Below are 19867 nucleotides of genomic sequence, written 5' to 3'. Positions count from 1 at the left end.
GAGGCAGCAGTGGCTTCCAAAGGGCAGGGAAATAACTCTGACCCGGCTGAATCACTTGACTTTTTATATTTTCTCTCCAGTGTTAGAGCCTTAGCAGTGTGGACACATGACTGCTGCTACTCAGCAAGGGCTGATTTCCAAGGTCACTGCCTCGAATGATCTGGCTTAGTGCCAGTGTCTTATCTTATTTCTGGAGCAAAGATAAAGGGAGTCCGGTGTTTCTGTTTTTTCAAAGGCCAGTAGTTGTAACAGGTTAATCAAGATGAGAGGCAAAATATTAATGAATCCACTCAGATAACTTTTTAAAGTAATGTGGGTGATGGAGACGGGAGGAAAGAGGTTGAAGTGATCTTTTTGTTAACGTTACATATCAAAACATAAATGATATCGTACATAGGTTTTACTGTGGACCATGTGGTTTTGTATGCTAAGCAACCTGTTGTGTTAGTAACTGAAATTCTTCTTGAATTATTTATACTCCTGTTGTAGCACAGCGTGACATTTCCTGTACTATTCAGTCTGTTGTTTCGTAATCATTGGTGTCTATTTCTCAAGCACTTTCTCCTCCACAGGAGGGGTGGAGGAGCAGGTGTTTCCCCTCCTGACGCTTGAGAGTGGATGAGTCCAGGTGAATAGGTGAAGGCACCTGCTGTAGTCACTGGTGGCAGAAGCAGGAGTGAAATCCTGGCCACTGACTTCACAAATCTTTTTTTTTTTTTGGTATGTGGAGGAGGTGGATTCATTTGCAGATTCCAGAGGCAGGCAGATGGTAGATGAGGAAACTGGCCTTCAGTGTCACAAAGCATTCAGGGTCATTTCCTCTCCAAGGTGGTGGTGCCACAGGGCTTCCTGCCTCATGTCACGGGGTTTAGTCCACTGAGCGTTGGGTGTGGCAATTCCCATTCTCAGCACCTGTATTAGTCTGTTCTCACATACCCGAGACTGGGTAATTTATAAAGAAAAAGAGGCTTAATGGACTCATAGTTCCACATAGCGGGGGAGGCCTCACAATCATGGCAGAAGGCGAAAGGCATGCTTTACATGGTGGCAGGCAAGAGAGTATGAGAGCCAAGTGAAAGGGGAAACTCCTAATAAAATCATCAGATTTCGTGAGACTTATTCACTGCCATGAGAATAGCATGGGGGAAACAGCTCCGGTGATTCAGTGTTCTCCCACCAGGTCCCTCCCACAATCTGGGAATTATAGGAGCTACAATTCAAGATGAGATTTAGGTGGGGACGCAGCCAAACCAAGTCAGCCCCTATCTCAGGCTAGAGTATTGGAGGGCAGGAGGATGTCTGATGGAGACAAAAACAATCTTTCTCTGCCCTAATGTATTAAATACATTAAAACAAAAGCCAGCCCACCCCAAAGCAAGTCATTAGGAAGCCTTGTGCTTTAGTGGTGTGAGAGCCTGGACCATAGAGCCAGAAAGCCTGGGTTCTAATCTTGACCTACCACTTCCTACTTTGGTGTGCTTGAACAGGTACATGACCTTTCTTTGCTTCAGTTACCTCAGCTGGAAATGGGAAGAATAATGGTGCCTCCCTCCTAGGATTGTTGAGAATTACAGGAATGACTAGGTGTAATTCATATCTGGCCTATAGTACATGCCATGTAATATTAACTATTATTATTCCTGCTCTTGTTACCAATAGAACAGTAGTAGTAGTAAACATAGTAGCATCTTACCTGATATTTGTGGCATTTACTTGTGGCACATTTTGCCTCGTCATGATGACAGTGCCTTGCACCTCAATTGAAAAATCCCAGCACTGCACAGGGGTGTGAAAATCATTGGTTTCTCTAGTTGAGCTCTTTAACTGCACCATCTGGTTTTTCCAGAGGCCTCAGTGTTGTCCCTGATGAAGAAGTCATTGAAATGTACGAGGGGTCCCACGTGCCCTTGGAGCAGATGAGTGACTTTTACGGAAAGGTAATGAGAAGCACTTTATTCATTTAAAGCAGCCTTTTTCCTTCTTGAAACATGGCCTTGTCGAACTTACCTACTGCTTATATGGAATTGACAGGGAAATTTGAGATTGTGTGTTGAGAGAGACTAGCGTTTGAAGGGGACACCCCCAGATTCTTTCATGATTCTCCTTTCTGAAGCACTTCCTCCCCACCTGATGAAGGCTCTTTTCACCTCCCACATACCTACCCCATTTGCCACCCCATCTCCAGGAATGTCCCTAGTTTCTGGAGTGGGGCTCCAGAACAGATTGGGGCTGTCGGTGTGACAGCTACTGCTTCCCCTGACGAATGGCTGTGAAATGCCAGAGTTGATGGCTACACAGCCACCCTTTTTACCTTCAGGGAAACCTCTGCTTTTCTATCTTTTGTGGTTCTCTTTCCACTCAGAATTTTTGCTTCTTGTCTTACTAGATGCACTCACTTACTTGCTTTGTCAAAATGAAATGGACGATGCTCGGTCAGCTAGTAAACTTAGTACAGACAGCCCCTGACTTACAATGATTCTACTTAGAATTTTTTGACTTTACAATGGTGTAAAACCATCGCAATTTCAACATAAATTACAGTATTCAATAAATTATATGAGACACTCAACACCTTATTATAAAACAGGCTTTGCATAGGCTAATATAAATGTTCTGAGAATGCTTAAGATAGGCTAGGCTGAGCCATGATGTTTGGTAGGTTAGATGTATAAATGCATCTTTTACAGTGGGTTTATCAGAATGTAACCCCATCATAAGTTGAGAATCTATAGTGTAAATCGCAAGTATTCAGAGAAGGGCTCTTTTTTAAGCTCAAATGTGGGCCGTGAGGTTCGTGCTCCAGTTCAGGAGAATTACATGAGTTTTAATGTCATTATGGGCAATAATTTGTTTGCTGGCTTTCCTCTGTGTTTCCTGAGTGTGAACCGGAAATGGGAGTGAGCACAGGAGAAATTGGGAGGGGAAGGGTGATTAGACTCTGGGGGAAATCAGGGCATTTCTTTTGATATCCTAGTTATACTTAGAGTGAGACATCAGCTCTGCTGTGAATGATAAGGAACAAGGGGAACATTTTACTTTTTTTTTTTTTTTTTAAGGCAGAGTTTTGCTCTTGTTGTCCAGGCTGGTGTGCAGTGGCGCCATCTCCGCTCATTGCAACCTCCACCTCTTGGGTTCAAGCGATTCTCCTGCCTCAGCCTCCTGAGTAGCTGGGATTCAGGCACCCACCACCATGCCCAGCAAATTTTTGTATTTTTTAGTAGAGACGGGGTTTCACGATGTTGTCCAGGCTGATCTTGAACTCCTGACCTCAGCTGATCCACCTGCCTTGGCCTCCCAAAGTGCTGGGATTACAGGCTTGAGCCACCACGCTCAGCCCATTGTCCTTTTTTATTATTAGAACTTTCCTTTTTTGTGTTGATGATGGGATCTCGTTTAGTCACGGAAAAGGCTTCCTGCTGTTCCTGGTGCTTCGTGGCTCTGTCCCTTGCGTGGGCCCCTGTTTCTAAAGCATTCCTTCCACCCTGTCTGCAGAGCTCTCATGGAAACACGATGAAGCAGTTCATGGACATCTTCTCCCTGCCCGAGATGACCCTCCTGTCCTGCGTGAATGAATACTTCCTCAAGAACAACATCGACTATGAGCCTGTGCATCTGTACAAAGATGTCAAGGTTGTATCCACAGTGAGAGATTACAGTGCTGAGTCTGTTTCAGCCTTTTCAGTGGGAGTCACAGAGTCTTGAACCTCCTTTCTAGGTTAGGTGTTTTAAATAGTCTCTTAGCTGGGAACTCTTATATGTGGTTTAACCTTGAACATTACAAGAAAGATGTTGTTACATCAGGAGAATTGGAAATCAGTCAAAAGTTTTGTTAAAACGAGATGGTGCTGACACTGTTATCTCAATTTTTGATCCTTTCTGACCAGAAGGCCAAGGCCAGGGCCGGTGCACTTGGCCAAAGGGATGATGGGGATGGAAGTCCAGCCTGTACCTACTCACCCATGAGTCTGCCCGAGCAAGGGTGCCTCTTCTTTTTTTTTTGAACAGAGTCTTGCTCTGTCACTCAGGCTGGAGTGCAGTGGCGTGATCTTGGCTCACTGCAACCTCTGCCTCCCGGGCCTCCCGGGTTCAAGTGATTCTCCTGCCTCAGCCTCCCAAGTAGCTGGGATTACAGGCGCCTGCCACCACGCCTGGCTAATTTTTGTATTTTTAATAGAGACGAGGTTTCACCATGTTGGCCAGGCTAGTCTCCAACTCCTAACCTCAAGTGATCCTCCCACCTCAGCCTCCCAAAGTACTGGGATTAAAGGCTTGAGCCACCACGCCCGGCCAGGGTGCCTCTTCGTCACATGGGTTACATTCAAGCTCCTGGCTGGGGGGCCTGTGCCACTGTAGTTGCCCAGAAGGGATGCCTTTTTCCTTTGCCTACAAAGGTTCCATGTGGCTCTCTAAAGTCCTGCAAAAGTCATGCAAGAATCCAGTTGGGGGACGGGGGATGTAGACAAATGTAAATGTTTACGTGAGCATATACAAAGTCCTCACTTACTGTTGCCCATAGGATCTTGGCATCCGTGACTTTAAGTGAAACCGTGTGCAACAGGTCCTTGAATAACGCCAATTTATTCGATGTCATTTTAGTTTTGACAAGGAAAAAAATTGATTTTGCTTTATGTCGTTTCACATAGAGTTGCAGTTTCTAAGAACCTACTGAAGATGTTAAGGACTTACTGTACAAATCATTTGTATTTATAAATTTATGTATTTTATGGTCACATGTTTATATATTTATATATGTTCTTTAAGCTGTATGAACTTTTTAGTACTAAAAAAGTTTATATTATTTTGTATGTATTTACATAGTTATAACATATTTATAAAAATATGTGTTTATTTAAATATATTTTTTAAAGATACATATTTACACATTAAAATATTTTTGTTATATATTTATAAGTAAATGTAAGTTTTGGCAGCGTGAATCCTGGGTTTTAGGAAGATAGAGGATAAATTATAGTTTCTCAATATCAGTGTGGTATTATCCAAATTGAATTTAGGTATTTAGTTTCTGTTCTCTTTTTTGTGTATACACTTTGTCTTTAAAAATCTGTAAGAATCACTTGTAGCAGCCTTGTGCATTCATAAGGCGAGATGTTGATTTGAAAGCTCAGTTTTTACTGCAAGTGTTGCTACCACCAAGAGCAAATACTTGTGTAGAGCTTAGTAGGTCCTAGGCACTGTTCTTATGAGTGCTTTAGGCATGTTAACTTACTAAATCTTCATAATAATATAAGGTAGGCACTATTCTTACCATTTTACAAATAAGGACATCGAGGCACAGTGAGGTTGAGTTGCTTGCCCAAGGTCACACAGCTGGTAAATAGCAGAGCCTTGATTTTAAGCCAGGCAGTCTGACTTGCATTTAACTGCTGCCTTCTGCTGCTGGTGTGAAATTGAATCAGGCTTGTGCTGAAAGGTAATTGAGGTTGAGATTGCAGTCCAGAAGTGCTCACTCTTAACAGAAATCTCCCAGCAACAGTCTAAGGCTTAGACACAATTTTGCCTGCAGCCCTGTCTCCTGCTACTGGCTCTAGAAAGTTTCCATAGGCCTCTAGGAATGTCACCACGTAGAGGCCCTGTGCAGTGTCACCTGCCAGTGGGACCCTGTTTTGACACCTGCCAGCTATCATGCTGCCATACTCCTGAACCCACAAAGGGTTTAACCACCTCCTCTTCCTCTCCCTGGACCACATCTCTGCCTGAGCTACAATCTCATTGCCAGTTCGTTGCCCTGCTGGTGGTACCAAAGAGAGAAGGAGGAACTTGTAAGCTATTTGTCTCTGCCTCTCATTCTGTGTTATAGAATTTGCCGTTGGGGTCTAGGGACAGAAAGGGCACAAAGATAAAAGAGCAATAACTCCCTTTGTCCAGATGGCCAGGGATCATTTGTTCACAGTACTGGATATAAATTACTGTCTATCATGTGGGACTTTATTCAGAATTATTCACAGAAATTACCTCTTCCAAGCACTCTTTTGAAAATTGCATTGGAAATTGCCACCATCACCATGGAAACTTTGGCTTTCACAAGGGGCTGCCTATGAAAATGGACCAGAATTGGCTGGGTGTGGTGGCTCATGCCTGCAATCCCAGCACTTTGGGCGGCTGAGGCAGGTGGATTACTTGAGGCCAGGAGTTGGAGACCAGCCTGGCCAACATGGTGAAACCCTGTCTCTATTAAAAACACAAAAATTAGCCTGATGTGCTGGCGGGCGCCTGTAATCCCAACTACTCTGGAGGCTGAGGCAGAAGAATCACTTGAACCCAGGAGGCAGAGGCTGCATTGAGCTGAGATGGGACCACTGCACTTCAGCCTGGGTGATATAACAAGACTCTGTCTCAAAAAAAAAAAAAAAAGAAGAAGAAAATGGACCAGAATTTAGATTTTGTGTAGGGCCTGGATTGTCAGACTTTCTAGGGACAGAAGTTACCATGACTGCCATTTCACTTGTACTGTTACTCAGGCTATCTCAGTTGTATTTTCGCTGATTAAAAATGTATCTTTTGGCAGGATTCAATTCGAGACGTCCACATCAAAGGAATAATGTACAGAGCAATTGAAGCAGACATTGGTATGTGCTCAGCAGTATCACGAAGAGAGTTTCAGCCTTTCTGTTTCTTTTGCAACCATGCCGGCATTTTACTTTGCATTCCAGGTGCTAAGCAGAGGCTGCATGAGTGCTCTGTAAGGACCTGGCATCCTGGCATGTTAGCCGTCTCCTCTTTGTCCTGGAACTTGACATAATTCTGACTTAAAAGGAGAGGCACTGGCAGCTATAGCCACTTAGTTGTTTCCACTTAGACCGAGGAGGCAGGGTCTTTGTGAATGATGCACCAGATGTACCCGTGTTCCACCGGACAAAGCTTCTTCCTTAGGGCCTTTATTCCCTTTCCTGTGCCTAGGACAGTGCTGGACCCAAACCCCCATTTAGAAAGTACTTGCAGATTGACAAATATCATGCTGAATCTGTGTGTGAATTTTTCTCTTGCTCTTAGAAAAGTACATCTGCTATGCTGAGCAGACCCGCGCAGTGTTGGCCAAACTGGCTGATCATGGCAAGAAGATGTTTCTCATCACCAATAGCCCCAGTAGCTTTGTGTAAGTTGCTCTGTGTTTCATTGCTAGCTTCTGGCACACTCCTTGTATCCCATTTGTTTTAGCAGCTGGAAATTGGAAAGAAAAAGTTACAGACACAGTTAATCTCTTTAATGTTAGACTAACCTGGCTGACTTGTTGCCCTAGGGACAAAGGGATGAGTTATATCGTTGGGAAAGACTGGAGGGACCTGTTCGATGTGGTCATTGTTCAGGCTGAGAAGCCAAACTTCTTTAATGATAAGCGGAGGTGAGTGTTTATTTTTCTAGGGGACTAGATTTTATTCCTTTGCTGCTGTGAATATATAGATGGTGTGTCTTGGTAAAATCCAGTTGCAAAATCATAAGCATGTGAGATTATAGCTTTTGAATTTTAACCCTTCTAGCAAGTAATCATGAGGAGAGTGACATGAGCACGTAACAGACAGTTTGCATGCATTGAAAGGGTTCTCAGTTCAACTTGAGCTACTTCAGACCCATGAGGTAGGCTTGAAGAAAATGATTGGCAGTGATGAGAAAGCCAAACTTATTATCACGTAGTAAATTAGATCTTTAGATGCAGACACATTGTGAAGCATCAGAAAACAACAGCAGCAACAAAACTGCCTGTTGGGTAGCTCTGTAAATAGAGCTCTCATTAGTGTGTTTAAAATTGCAGTTGGATTTTGCAGAGCTGCTCTGCAACACAGGTTTTGCATCACGTGCAGTAAATCTCTATTACGTCTTAATATCTTCCTGCCACTGTAGCCGTGGGAATGGGGAAGCAGGTAAGTTTTAGGTTGTGACAGGGACAGAGTGTGCTGTTAGTATTTAGTGGGTAGGGATCAGGGAACGCTAAAATATCTTTTAACTTGTGGGACAGGCCTGTTCACCAAGAGCTGTTCTCCACAAATTCCCACAGTGTTGAGAATCACTGCACTAGGGTTCTAAAAAAATTACTTGTATTTGTATAATAATGGGCAAGTTTTGAAACACTTTTACCCCCATGTTTATTCTGCAGCTGGTAAGCAGGTAGTCTGTTCCTCTCTGTTAGGTGATTTGAAGCATCAGGGTGTGGTGCCCTGCAGTTAATGCTTTAAATTCCTCTTGTCCCAGTTTTCCACGTGTCACAGTGACTCCAGGAAGAAGAGGCAAACCAAGAACCATGTGCAGGGACTCAAAAATGCTTGGTGGGACTCAAGAAAATGAGTGTGATGAAAAACAGCTATAAACTGTGGCTTGCTGCTTTGTTACTATTTTGTCCCACTGACTGGCGGCTGGAGTCATCCCAAAGACAGTGGCAAGGGAGTTCCTACATGGGAGAGCCGCAAACCGTCCCATGATGGGGCTGGTTGGGATTCCAAAGAAAGAAGCACTAAACTCTGGGGTGATCAGTGCAAAGCGCTTATTAGAGGAACCGACTTACAGAGTGGGCTGCTGTGCATCCTATGGCACAGGGTCCCCAACCTTTTTGGCACCAGGGGCCGGTTTCATGGACGACAATTTTTCCAGCAGGTTTGTGGGGGTAGGGTGATGGTGTCAGGATGAAACTGTTCTACCTGAGATCATCAGGCATTAGATTCTCATAAGGAGCACACAACTTAGATCCCTTGCTTGTGCAGCTCACGATAGGGTTCCGCTCCTTTGAGAATCTAATGCCACCACTGATTTGCCAGGAGTTGGAGCTCAGGCGGTAATGCTCTCTCACCCACTGGACGCTCGCCTCCTGCTGTGCGGCCCGGTTCCTAACAGACCTTGGACTGGTTTTGGTCTGTGGTCCGCGGCCCAGGGTTTGGGGACCCCTGCTCTGGCAGACAGGAGAGAAAGGGATGTTCTACCTAGGTGTGTCCACCAGGAGTGGGTCAGGATGTGGAGTTTATTGAGGGTTTAAGGAATTTGGCTCCAGGCCAGGGCTGGTTTCTTCCAGTGTCTTGGGGAGTATCATAAAAACCTTTATCGGTGTCTGGGAGTTTTGAAGCATGCAGAGGAAAACATGCACCTAGCTGGGTCAGAGTGGTCAAAGGCACTCCTGTCCTAGAGGAAGAAGTGGGGGAGGTTGGGGGCCCTACAGTAGCTGATATGATGCCCTCACCATTTTCTTAGTGGATTCTGGGGTGTGGTCAGGAGAAGGGCCCTGTCTCTCTTTTCACCAGAGAGCTCCTCTGCTTTGTTATGTTTATAAAAAGTGAGGGGGCAGGGTCCTGGACTCGTTTCCCTGGATGGCGCAGGCAGGGTGTCTCAGCCCTCTCCCCCAAACATCTATTTTGTCTTTGTTCTTGAAGCCTAGGGTAAGAGCTGAATAATTCTCCATCTGTATTCATCCTTGTGTTATTCATAATAATGAGAGGTCAGAAACAACCTAACAGCCCTACAGTAGGAGATGCCTAGTTAAATTTGGAATAGCCATGTGAGGGGGTATTATGCAGTCATTAAAAATGATGTACTTGGCCGGGTGCGGTGGCTCACGCCTATAATCCCAGCACTTTGGGAGGCTGAGGCGGGCGGATCACAAGGTCAGGAGATGGAGACCATCCTGGCTAACATGGTGAAACCCCCTCTCTACTAAAAATACAAAAAATTAGCCCGGCATGGTGGTGGGCGCTTGTAGTCCCAGCTACTCGGGAGGGTGAGGCAGGAGAATGGCGTGAACCTGGGAGGCAGAGCCGAGGTCATGCCACTGCACTCCAGCCTGGGCGACAGAGTGAGACTCCATCTCAAAAAAAAAAAAAAAAAAAAAAAAGATGTACTTGGGCCGGGGTGCCGTGGCTCACACCTATAATCCCAGCACTTTGGGAGGCTGAAGCCAGAGGATTGCTTGAGCCCAGGAGTTTGAGACCACCCTGGGCTACATAGGGAGACTGTCTCTACAAATAATTAAAAAATTAGTTGGTCACACCTGTAGTCCCAGCACTTTGGGAGACTGAGGTGGGCAGATCACCTGAGGTCAGGAGTTCAACATGGTGAAATCCCATTTCTACTAAAAATACAAAAATTAGCCAGTCATGGTGGCATGCAACTGTAATCCCAGCTACTCAGTAGGCTGAGGCAGGAGAGTCACTTGAACCCAGGAGGCAGAGCTTGCAGTGAGCCAAGGTTGCACCACTGCACTCCAGCCTGGGCGACAGAGTGGGACTCTCTCTCAAAAAAATAAAATAAAATAAAATAAACTAGGTATGGCAGTGCATGCTTGCAGTCCCAGCTATTTGAGAGACTGAGGTGGGAGTGTCACCTGAACCCAGGAGGTCAAGACTGTAGTGAGCCGCGATTGTGCCATTGCACTTCATCCTGGGGAACAGAGTGAGACCCTTTCTCCAAAAAAACCAAAAATGTATTTGGGAAAAAAAAAAGATGATGTTGTATTACTGTAAAACATGATGTATTTAAGAAGATGTAATCACTTGGGAAATTGCTCGCAATATTAGAGAAAAAGGATATAAATTAGTGTACACAAAGTGATCCTCATTTTATAGTCATGAAAGAAAGATAAATTTCATAAAAAGACTGAAACACGAACTGAAATGTTAAGTGTACATGGTGGGTCTAGAATTCTGGGTTGCGTACCTTTTTTTCATAGTATTTTTCTGTATTACAATTAGGTAAAAAAATTATTTTTTTAGGGTGACACTTATTTTTACCTTAAGGCAAACAAACTGTGAGTCCTTTGGGCTAACACTGCCAGGGTGAGGCATGAGGCATTATCCTTACTTCCCAATTTCCACCATAAACTAGTGCTTCTGGTCTTCTGATTTGTTTTTTATCTGGAGTGGCTTAATTTCAGGTACAAAGCCAGAAAAATATACTAAGGCAGTATTTCCATAAACTTTTCTTCATAAACAGGTTTTCTGCCTGGTCAAGTAAATCCGGGAAATCTGGGTGAAAGAAAGTTGATTACAGCAGGGCTTTTCAGAGCCATCAATAGCTTTTTAAGAGGGACATGTTTAGTGCATGGTGTTTTCCAAATTTATATGACCCTGGAATTCTTTTTTTTGTTTGTTTTTGTTTTTGTTTTTGAGATGGAGTTTCTCTCTTGTTGCCCAGGCTGAAGTGCAGTGGCACAATCTCCACTCACTGCAAGCTCTGCCTCCTGGGTTCAAGCGATTCTCCTGCCTCAGCCTGTTGAGTAGCTGGGATTACAGGTGCCCGCCACCATGCTCAGCTAATTTTTGTATTTTTAGTAGAGATGGGGTTTCATCATGTTGGCCAGGCTGATCTCGAACTCCTGACCTCAGGTGATTCACCTGCCTTGGCTTCCCAAAGTGCTGGGCTTACAAGAGTGAGCTACTGCGCCCAGCCCCCTGGAATTCTTTTTTTTCGTGGAACACCTTTGGATACTGGGCTTCACACAATTTGGGACGCATTGAATTAGGCCAGGGAATATGATGGTGGAGTTTTGGTTTCGGGTTTTTTTTAGGTTTTTGCAGGGAGCTACTTCCTGTGATAGTGAATAACTGGTATTTCATAGAGCAGACAGCCTGTACTACTCCATGTCATAATGTTTCCCATTTCTGTTGTTAGGCCTTTCCGAAAGATGAATGAGAAAGGTGTCTTACTCTGGGATAAAATCCATAAGTTGCAGAAAGGCCAGATATACAAGCAGGTATCTCATGACCAGCTGATCCTTTTTGTTGCTTTGCTTTGTGGTCGGTAATAATGCTAATAGCTGATGTTCATTGTGGCTTACTGTATGCCTGGCACAGTTCTGAGTGATTCCCATGAACTGATTGATTATAACTTGGTGGTAAACTTAGGTTTAAATCAATATATTTTCAATATATTGCTAGTATCTAACTCAAAATTGAATGTTTTTTTAAAAACAAAATTTAAGGCATGACTTTCATAGTGTGTAACATATAAGATGCCAGTAGTAAACCTTGGAAATTTCTCTTTAAGGAACACTTACTCATGGCATATTATTCACTCAAATTACTAATTATTTTCTGACAATACATGTTTTGTACACAATTTTGTGAGTTTAAAAAAAAATTTATTAAGACAAGGTCTTGCCCTGTTGTCCAGGCTGGAGTGCAGTGGCATGAACATGATTCACTATAGCCTCAACCTCCTGAGTTGAAGTGATCCTTCCATCTCAGCCTCCCAGGTGGCTGGGATCATAGGCATGCACCACCACACCCAGCTAATTTTTAATTTTTATTTTTTGTAGAGACAGGGTCTTGCCATTTTGCCCAAGCTGGTCTTGAACTCTTGGGCTCAAGCAGTCCTCCCACCTTGGCCTCCCAAAGTGCTGGGATTACAGGCATAACCATCACACCTAGCCTGTGCACAGTTCTAATATATTTTGGTGTCATATGAGGCTTTCAAATATTTGAATGAATTATTGCATCGGTGACCATTATTATGTTACTAAAGTTCATTTTTTAAAAATATGAATACATTCTTGGTGGGTATATAACAATCTGATGGATTTGGCAATAAGTGTATTTTCTAGGCCTTGAAAAATTAGCTTTGATAAAGCCATTCTACTTCTAGGAAGTTAGCCTAAGAAAATTATGAAGATAATAGCTAATACAACTTGGCTATGAGAATGTTTATCATGAAGTTGCTTATAAAATAGATAATGTCAGCTGTCCAACATCAGGGAATTGGCGAAAGGAATCATGGTACTTCCCAGCTGCTATCATTACATGGTAGACTATTGACATGGGAAGATGGCCACAGCATGTTAAGTGTGGAAAGATAGTTACAGTGAGGTGTATATAATATAAATCCTTCTTGAACAGTGCATTTGACATAGAAGAAAGATTTCCCATGAAGGTGCTTTTATCTTTATATTTTGATATTTAAAATAAGTTATAAAAACAACAATTTTTAAAAGTTTTATATTTTGTACTGTGGGTTAGACAGATCTCTATCTGTAATAATAATAACTATAGTTTTCTCTGATTACAGGGTAATTTATATGAATTTTTGAAGCTTACTGGATGGAGAGGATCCAGAGTGTTGTATTTTGGTGACCATATATACAGTGACCTGGCGGTGAGGGGCCCTTTTTTCCTTTGTTGGGGGACAGATGTGTTAGTCTCACTTACTAAAGAATGTATCTTTTATTTAAGGATGTACCTTTTATTTAAGAATATATCTTTTATTTAAGGTCATCTTTATGCTTTCATAAAACCTAAAAGTAGGCTGCATTTTTTTAATGTCTTTTTTTTTTTTTTAACAGAACAGGATGGATCAGAGTTGTGAAAAAGATAAATATTTTTTGGAAATGATGGAAATAAGTTCACTCAGAGTTTATCAGAATAATCTTTCCATTTAAATAATAAGAAATAAATGCCATTGTTCTTTTTCCTTTCATCGATGCATCAAAAAACATAAAATCCACCTTTGAAAGTTTGCCACCGTTGGGAATATTTAAAAGAATGTGCTGTAGGTTTTCATGTATTATTAGGAGGAAGAGAAATATTCAAAGGCTTCAAGAAACTGAACCAGTGGGCTGGGCATGGTGGCTCACACCTGTAGTCCTAGCACTTTGGGAGGCCGAGGTGGGTGGATTACTTAAGCTCAGGAGTTTGAGATCAACCTGGGCAGCGTTGTGAAACCCTGTCTCTACTAAAAATACAAAAATTATCTGGGCGTGGTAGCACACGCCTGTAATCCCAGCTACTGGGGAGGCTGAGGCAGGAGAATTGCTTGAACCTGGGAGGTGGAAACTGCAGTGAGCTGAGATCATGCCATTGCACTCTAGCCTAGGCGACAGAGTGAGACCCTGCCTCAAAAAAAAAAAAAAAAAAATCAAACCAGTGAGGAAGGTGGGCATCCTAAGCCCTCTTAGACTCTTGCATAGGACTTAGGATTCTGGCTTTAGCTGAGTAGCCAGACTGAACCTTTAAAACTATAAATCAGCTACCACTTCTTTTAAAACCTGAAAGCCTTTCTTTCTCTCTGAGTAAAAGCCTGAGTTCCTATGGTTGCCCACTGGATTTCCCCTTCCCCAGCCCACCTCTGAAGACATCCTCTGCCTCTGCCCCCTGTTTTGTCTCTTCTAGGTTCCCTGACTTGTTGCTTCTTAACATGCCACCCTCCAGCATGTTCCTGCCCCAGGGCCTTTGCACTTGCTGTTCTTCAGCCAGAATCTTTCTGTTTCCACATATTTTCATACTTTCCCCCACCTTGTCCTTGTATTAGCCTGGTCTTCCTAACTACCCTGTATAAAATGGAAACCTCCTTGCTTCCTCTCCTTATCCTGTTATTCTGCTTGATTTTTGTCCCTTGTACTTATCCCCACCTGCCATTGTGTATTTTACTTATTTATTGTCTGTATTTTCCACGAGGGCTGGGATTTCTCAGTTTTTTTGTGCATTGTTTTATCCTCAGTATTTAGGGCCTGGCAAATAGTAGTGCTTGATAAATATTTGCCAAATAAGAAAATGCACATTTAGTATGATGACTATATGTCTTAGATTTTCCAGGACATAGCTGATACTAGATATTCTGGCCTGTTGTCAAATATGGGGTGACAGCATTTGGAATGGAAAATGTGATCATGCATGCTTATGTTGTATGTGATCATTCCAAATCTGAGATTCCATGGTTCTCCATAACCCAGAGGGCCTGGCACACACAGGTCTGTGGATGAATTGAATGAAGACCTTTGGTAGCATTTAGGTCAAGCCCCTTTCTGCCCCTGACCTCATTTTTTTTTTTTTTTTTTTTTTTTTTTTTACAGACCATGGTTAATGATTCCAGACCTAGTGTTTCTGCAGGGGTTGTGACTCACGGCAATTATTTCCAGAACTGAAACTTTCTTGGAATGAAATGATCAAAGGCTGGGGCCAAATAGGTTTTAATTAAATGTAATTCATTGAATTCAGCTTGGTGAATAACTAACCATTACCATCAAAAAGTAATTAAATGAATGCCTCTCATGTCTGGGAAAATAATGACATAGTTTAGATTCTGTTGAGACTGACGTTGACTTTTCGTGATCTTTGTGATCAGGATTTGACCCTAAAGCATGGCTGGAGGACTGGTGCAATCATCCCAGAGTTGAGATCTGAGCTCAAAATCATGAACACGGAGCAATACATTCAAACCATGACCTGGCTGCAGACCTTGACTGGCTTATTGGAACAGATGCAGGTTTGGATATATTATTTTTCTCTCTCACTTTTTCTTTAAGCCTGAGGTTAGAAAGTTACTTCAGGTATTTTCTGCTTAATTGTTATAAAATATGAGGCTTAAGTTGTTTTCAGTAGACTGTAGAATAACGATTGGGGTTCTTTTGCCTAGACAGTGTTTGTGGGGCCTTTGTTAATGCAGGTGTTTGCTCACATTCCTCTGTCAGTGAAGATCCAGTGTCCTCACTTCCACACTGAAGCCTGCTAGGAGCTCTCCTGTGGGATGCTGGGATTCAGGAAGCCCTGCCAGTGCTTGAGTCTGTGCTGGTTCTGTCTGCACCTGCTACGGTGGGACTTCTCCATTCTGGGCCTCAGTTTCCCCATCTGTGAAATAAAGGGGCCGCTGGAACGAAAACTTCAGTCTAGGCACCATGGCTTACTGGAAAGAGTCTCAAAGCAAGAGTCAAGATCCCTGGGTCCAGCCTCAGTTGATTCTGAGGATAATACCTGCAGTTTGCTGGCTTACTGGAGTTCCCTGGCAGTTACTTCCTTAAGTTAAGTTAGGCAGCCAGTTTTGGCTGGTAAGTGAGGAATGGCAGTTTTATCAGTCGTTTCCTGGCCCATGGAAGCTGCCTCTCTTTTGTAGCTGTATCCCCTTAATTCTCCATGTGCCCCTTTCCTTTCCAGTTCCATGAGGCACCTTGCTTTCTCCCTGGCTCCAGCTTGCCTGGGCTACAGCCGTCTCAGCATGGGTGCTGACATTTTTAGGATCTGGGCACAGGTGCTTGCTCTCTTGGCTAACACACCTGCAACCTGTGGCCACAGCCTATTGCCCATGCCTGCCCTCTGGCTTTGGAAATGGGCAGGGAATTGCCTTGCCTGCCCCAGCTGGCACTCTGCTTGGGAGTGGCTGAGCAGTGAGATCAGGCAGGGCCATGAGTGGCAGGCCAGATTCTGGCTCCAGGTGCATGCATTCCAGAGCATGGGGCCCTGCACGTCCCCCTGGGCCTTGTTTCCAGGATGCACTGGGCTCCATTAGTTCTTGGCTCTTCTCTGATGAGAATCCTCTGATGAGGATTTATTCTGTTTCCCTCGCTATGCTTGTCTGTGAGATGATTTACTAAAAATATACAGTGTCAATTCTGAGTTAGTGTAGTTTAGAGTCTGTGCATGTCATACACTACTAATAGTTACTTTTTATGTGCTGGACACTGTGCTGAGTGCTGGCTCTATACACTTTGCTCATTTAATAGTCACAGCTGTCCCTTGCAGGTAGGTACAATTTTCCCATTTTAGAATAAGGAAACAGTTTTTGAGAGGTTAGGTATCATTCATGTCTGAGGTCATAAAATGGCAGGGCAGGGCTTGAACCAAGTCCCCAAGTCCATGCTTCAGAGCACTGCTCTAATGTGCCTTCCTGTTTAGAGGATTCGGGTATAGGCAAGGCTTGACTCACCCTCAGTGAAATCTCTGTGACCCTGGCAGCTGGTCATAGGTACAAACACAACTGCACGTAGATGGTATCAGTATATTTTAGCTTTGGAAAGAGGTTTTTTTTTTTTTTGGTTTTATTTTGTTTTCCTTTTTCTGACCTGTGTAAAAAGTTGACTACTAAGGAATGTGTGTTTTAGAGAATGGAAGTGCTGAAAATATTTCTGTGGTTTGTAAAATTAATTATATGAGGTGTGGGGTAAGGGAAGGAAGAAAAGGGAGTTGAGGTTTACATAGCTGCCCCCATTTTGCAGGAGAGAAAACTGAGACAGCGAGATAGGTGACTTTTCTAGAATCACAGTTCTCGGTTGGCAGAATCAGGCTATGTAGAAATGTCGTAAGAACTTACCGTGTTCTGGACACTGAGACCTTTAAGTTCATTTCATCTTCACAGAAACTCTTTGAAGTAGTTCTGAAACATCACTGCCATTTTACTGATGAAGACCCTGAGGCGCAGAGGAGATATAACTTGCTCTAGTGAGGGGTGATGCTGGTGTTTACACACAGGCCGACCGACTCTAGACCCTTAACCTCTGTGCACCTATATTGATTGCCTTGGGTTCTGGCACTTTGTACAGAGTTCTGTCAGGTTGGATTCACTAGGATATAGAGGTGTATAGCTGCTAACTAAAAAAACATCCAAATCAGTGTCCTATCTCACTGTCACCCTCTTCCTCAGTGTTCCCTTAGAAAGTTATAAGTTATTCCACTGAGCCTGTGGTAGATGTTTCTAGAACTCCCCCTTGGGGATTATTTTCAGAGCATGTAGCACATTATTTGGACAGTTTTCTGAGGAGAAAAATTGGTCCTCTGAGATTGGGTTTGATTTTTTCAGAGCCAGTAGAGTGTCATTTTTTTGTTTGTTTGTTTGTTTGTTTTTGAGATGGAGTCTTGCTCTGTCGCCCAGGCTGGAGTGCAGTGGCGCGATCTTGGCTCACTGCAGCCTTCACCTCCCAGGTTCAAGCAGTTCTCCTCTCTCAGCCTCCCAAGTAGCTGGGACTACAGGCTTGTGCCACCACGCCCAGCTAATTTTGTATTTTTAGTAGAGATGGGGTTTCACCATGTTAGCCAGGCTGGTCTCAAACTCCTGACCTCACAGAGTGTCATTTGGAGCCGAGTCTCATGAATGAAATAGAAGTATATAAATTTTGGTTGTAATTTCATTAGTTAGCCTTGAAGTGCATTCCAAAATGGCTGTGGTTCATGGTGGTGGTGCTGGCATTGGTAGCCGCTTCTCAGGTAACCAACCAGTCAGAGGCCACATTTAGACCACAGGTCAGCAAGCTTCTGCAAAGGGCCACATGGTAAATATTTTAGGCTGTGCAGGCTGTAGGCTCTGTTGCAGCTACCCACCTCTGCACTTGTAGCACAAAAGCAGCCGTGGACAGTATGTGAATGAATGGTTGTAGCTGTGTCCCAATAAACTTTATTGGTGGACACTGAAATTTGACTTTCATGTAATTTTTACATGTTAGGAAATTCTTCTCTTTTTTTTCTTTTGAGGCAGTCTCACTCTGTTGCCCAGGCTGGAGTGCAGTGGCATGATCTCAGCTCACTGCAGCCTCTGCCTCCCAGGCTCAAGTGATTCTCATGCCTACCCTCCTGAGTAGCTAGGATTACAGGTGTGCACCAGCATGCCCAGCTAATTTTTGTATTTTTGAAGAGACTGGGTTTCACCATGTTGGCCGGGCTGGTCTCGAACTCCTGGCCTCAAGTGATCCACCTGCCTTGGCCTCCCAAAATGCTGGGATTATAGGCGTGAGCTACCACGCCCAGCCTGTCATGAAATTATTCTTCTTTTGAGTTTTTTTTCCCCCAACCATTGAAAAAGAAAAACCCATTTGTAAGCTTATAGGCTGATAGAAAAATGGGCCGGTGGCTGGACTGATGTAGGCTATTGCACTGGCTAGATTGTAATATCTTTCTCAAACAAGGGCAAAGATATGTAGCCAATCTGTTTTGCCCCTAAAGAGCTGATTATGCCCATGAACAACCACTGGAGATGGAGATGGCTGAAGTGCCTGTAGGATCAGTTCTCTGTGGGGCTTCGGTTAGTCTTTTCCAATGTTAAGTACCCACTCTAGAGTGCATGGTTTCACTTGAAAGATTAATGATAGCTAATGAACACACACTGTCTTTGAAATATTTTAAAGTGGATTTCAGAACCAGAGGCTCTTGTTTTATGGAGTTTGGCCTTGTAGGGGGACAGAGCTGGAGAAAGGGGGTTGGGCACCAGGAGAAATCTTCTTTTTTCAATGGGAGAGACTTGAGCATGTTTAATGGCTGATGGGAAGGATGCAGGCGAGAGGGCTGTTCCTATGAGAGAGATGATAAATGGTGGGAAAGGTTCATGGCAGGGCAGCCAGCAGGGCGCCCCAGCCAGCTGCTGGGTGCTTCGTGGGAGGTAAGGCCCGAAGGGTGGCCGAGTGAAGGCGCAGAGCTCAGGGTCCCCCTCTGGGCATGCGTCCCTGGCCTCTGATTCCTGGGGTCTTTCTCCTTTACATGTCCCTTCAACAGCCTCAGGGTTCAGAGTCAAGCTGTTGAACTGGGCAGATGTGATAAACAGAAGGTTCTTGGCTCCCATGTCAAAAGCAGATGGTTTGCCCGCTTGGTGTTTTCCTCCAGGTTCTAAGGTTACCCCTGTGGTCATGAATTGCAGGGAGCTGGCCTGTTCCCTGCGATCATGTGCACCTTGGATTCTGGCCTCAGTGTTTCTGTTTAGCCATAAGAACCTTGGAGAGGGACTTGTGAGATTCCATTTGTTAGATCATGGGCAATTGGCATTTTCTTTTTGCCTTTCGCCCATATTTTGGCCCACCAGAAAATGCTCTGCTCTTCCTTCTCATTGAGGTGATTTGCCTTCTTGCCTTTTGCAAAAAAATAATTGTTTTTTTAAATTAAACACTTAATATAATATTAAATTAAAAGGTTTATTTATAATTCTACTACCCCTGTACAAATTAAAACAAATTTTTATGTTAATTTCCAAATGTAAGCACATACTTTGACATGCTTGCAATTGGTGGGTATATACGCCATTTCTACTTAACTATAACGTTTGTACACATGTATATAATATGTATAATAGGTAGCATGTACTAAGTATTTGTACATTATAGTTTGTACACATGTATATAATATATGTGTAATGGATGTATCATGTGCATAATGGATATATCACATACATGTGTTATACATACATGGATACA

General features: G+C 43.5%; 1 protein-coding gene across 14 annotated transcripts in view, besides 3 other annotated features; it reads left to right on the top strand.

The window, feature by feature from the left end:
• The window catches only part of NT5DC3 (5'-nucleotidase domain containing 3), a 94920-nt gene that overhangs the window by 40711 nt on the left and 34342 nt on the right, over positions 1-19867 (top strand). For 8 of the 14 annotated variants that reach the window (XR_001748758.2, XR_007063093.1, XR_007063092.1 and 5 more), the window contains 8 exons: positions 1847-1937; positions 3493-3630; positions 6527-6587; positions 7012-7114; positions 7259-7360; positions 11605-11686; positions 12997-13083; positions 15049-15189. Coding sequence is in view for 5 of the 14 variants with exons in the window: in NM_001031701.3 (NP_001026871.1) it covers positions 1847-1937; positions 3493-3630; positions 6527-6587; positions 7012-7114; positions 7259-7360; positions 11605-11686; positions 12997-13083; positions 15049-15189 (805 nt within the window). In the remaining 9 variants the exon portion in view is untranslated. Of the gene's footprint in view, positions 1-1846; positions 1938-3492; positions 3631-6526; positions 6588-7011; positions 7115-7258; positions 7361-8205; positions 9572-11604; positions 11687-12996; positions 13084-14776; positions 14917-15048; positions 15190-19867 lie in introns of those variants that run through there. The other 6 variants (XR_944580.3, XM_047428976.1, XR_944581.3 and 3 more) reach the window with 6 other exon arrangements.
• Positions 1030-2229: an enhancer, noted in NCBI's record as "MED14-independent group 3 enhancer chr12:104192073-104193272 (GRCh37/hg19 assembly coordinates)". NCBI's record gives its function as "activates an origin of replication core promoter dependent on BRD2, BRD4, P300/CBP and CDK7 cofactors, and independent of MED14, by STARR-seq in HCT116 cells {active_cell/tissue: HCT116}" and the evidence as "EXISTENCE:reporter gene assay evidence [ECO:0000049][PMID:35650434]".
• Positions 3349-3518: an enhancer, noted in NCBI's record as "experimental_23277 CRE fragment used in MPRA reporter constructs". NCBI's record gives its function as "activates a minimal promoter by MPRAs in K562 erythroleukemia cells, with activity observed for both the introgressed and non-introgressed 12:104190869 variant alleles {active_cell/tissue: K562}" and the evidence as "EXISTENCE:reporter gene assay evidence [ECO:0000049][PMID:34662402]".
• Positions 9054-9223: an enhancer, noted in NCBI's record as "experimental_23254 CRE fragment used in MPRA reporter constructs". NCBI's record gives its function as "activates a minimal promoter by MPRAs in K562 erythroleukemia cells, with activity observed for the non-introgressed 12:104185164 variant allele {active_cell/tissue: K562}" and the evidence as "EXISTENCE:reporter gene assay evidence [ECO:0000049][PMID:34662402]".

This window comes from Homo sapiens, chromosome 12 (assembly GCF_000001405.40).
Source record: "Homo sapiens chromosome 12, GRCh38.p14 Primary Assembly".
NCBI lineage: Eukaryota > Metazoa > Chordata > Mammalia > Primates > Hominidae > Homo > Homo sapiens.
This window is presented reverse-complemented; position numbering and strand designations above follow the sequence as displayed.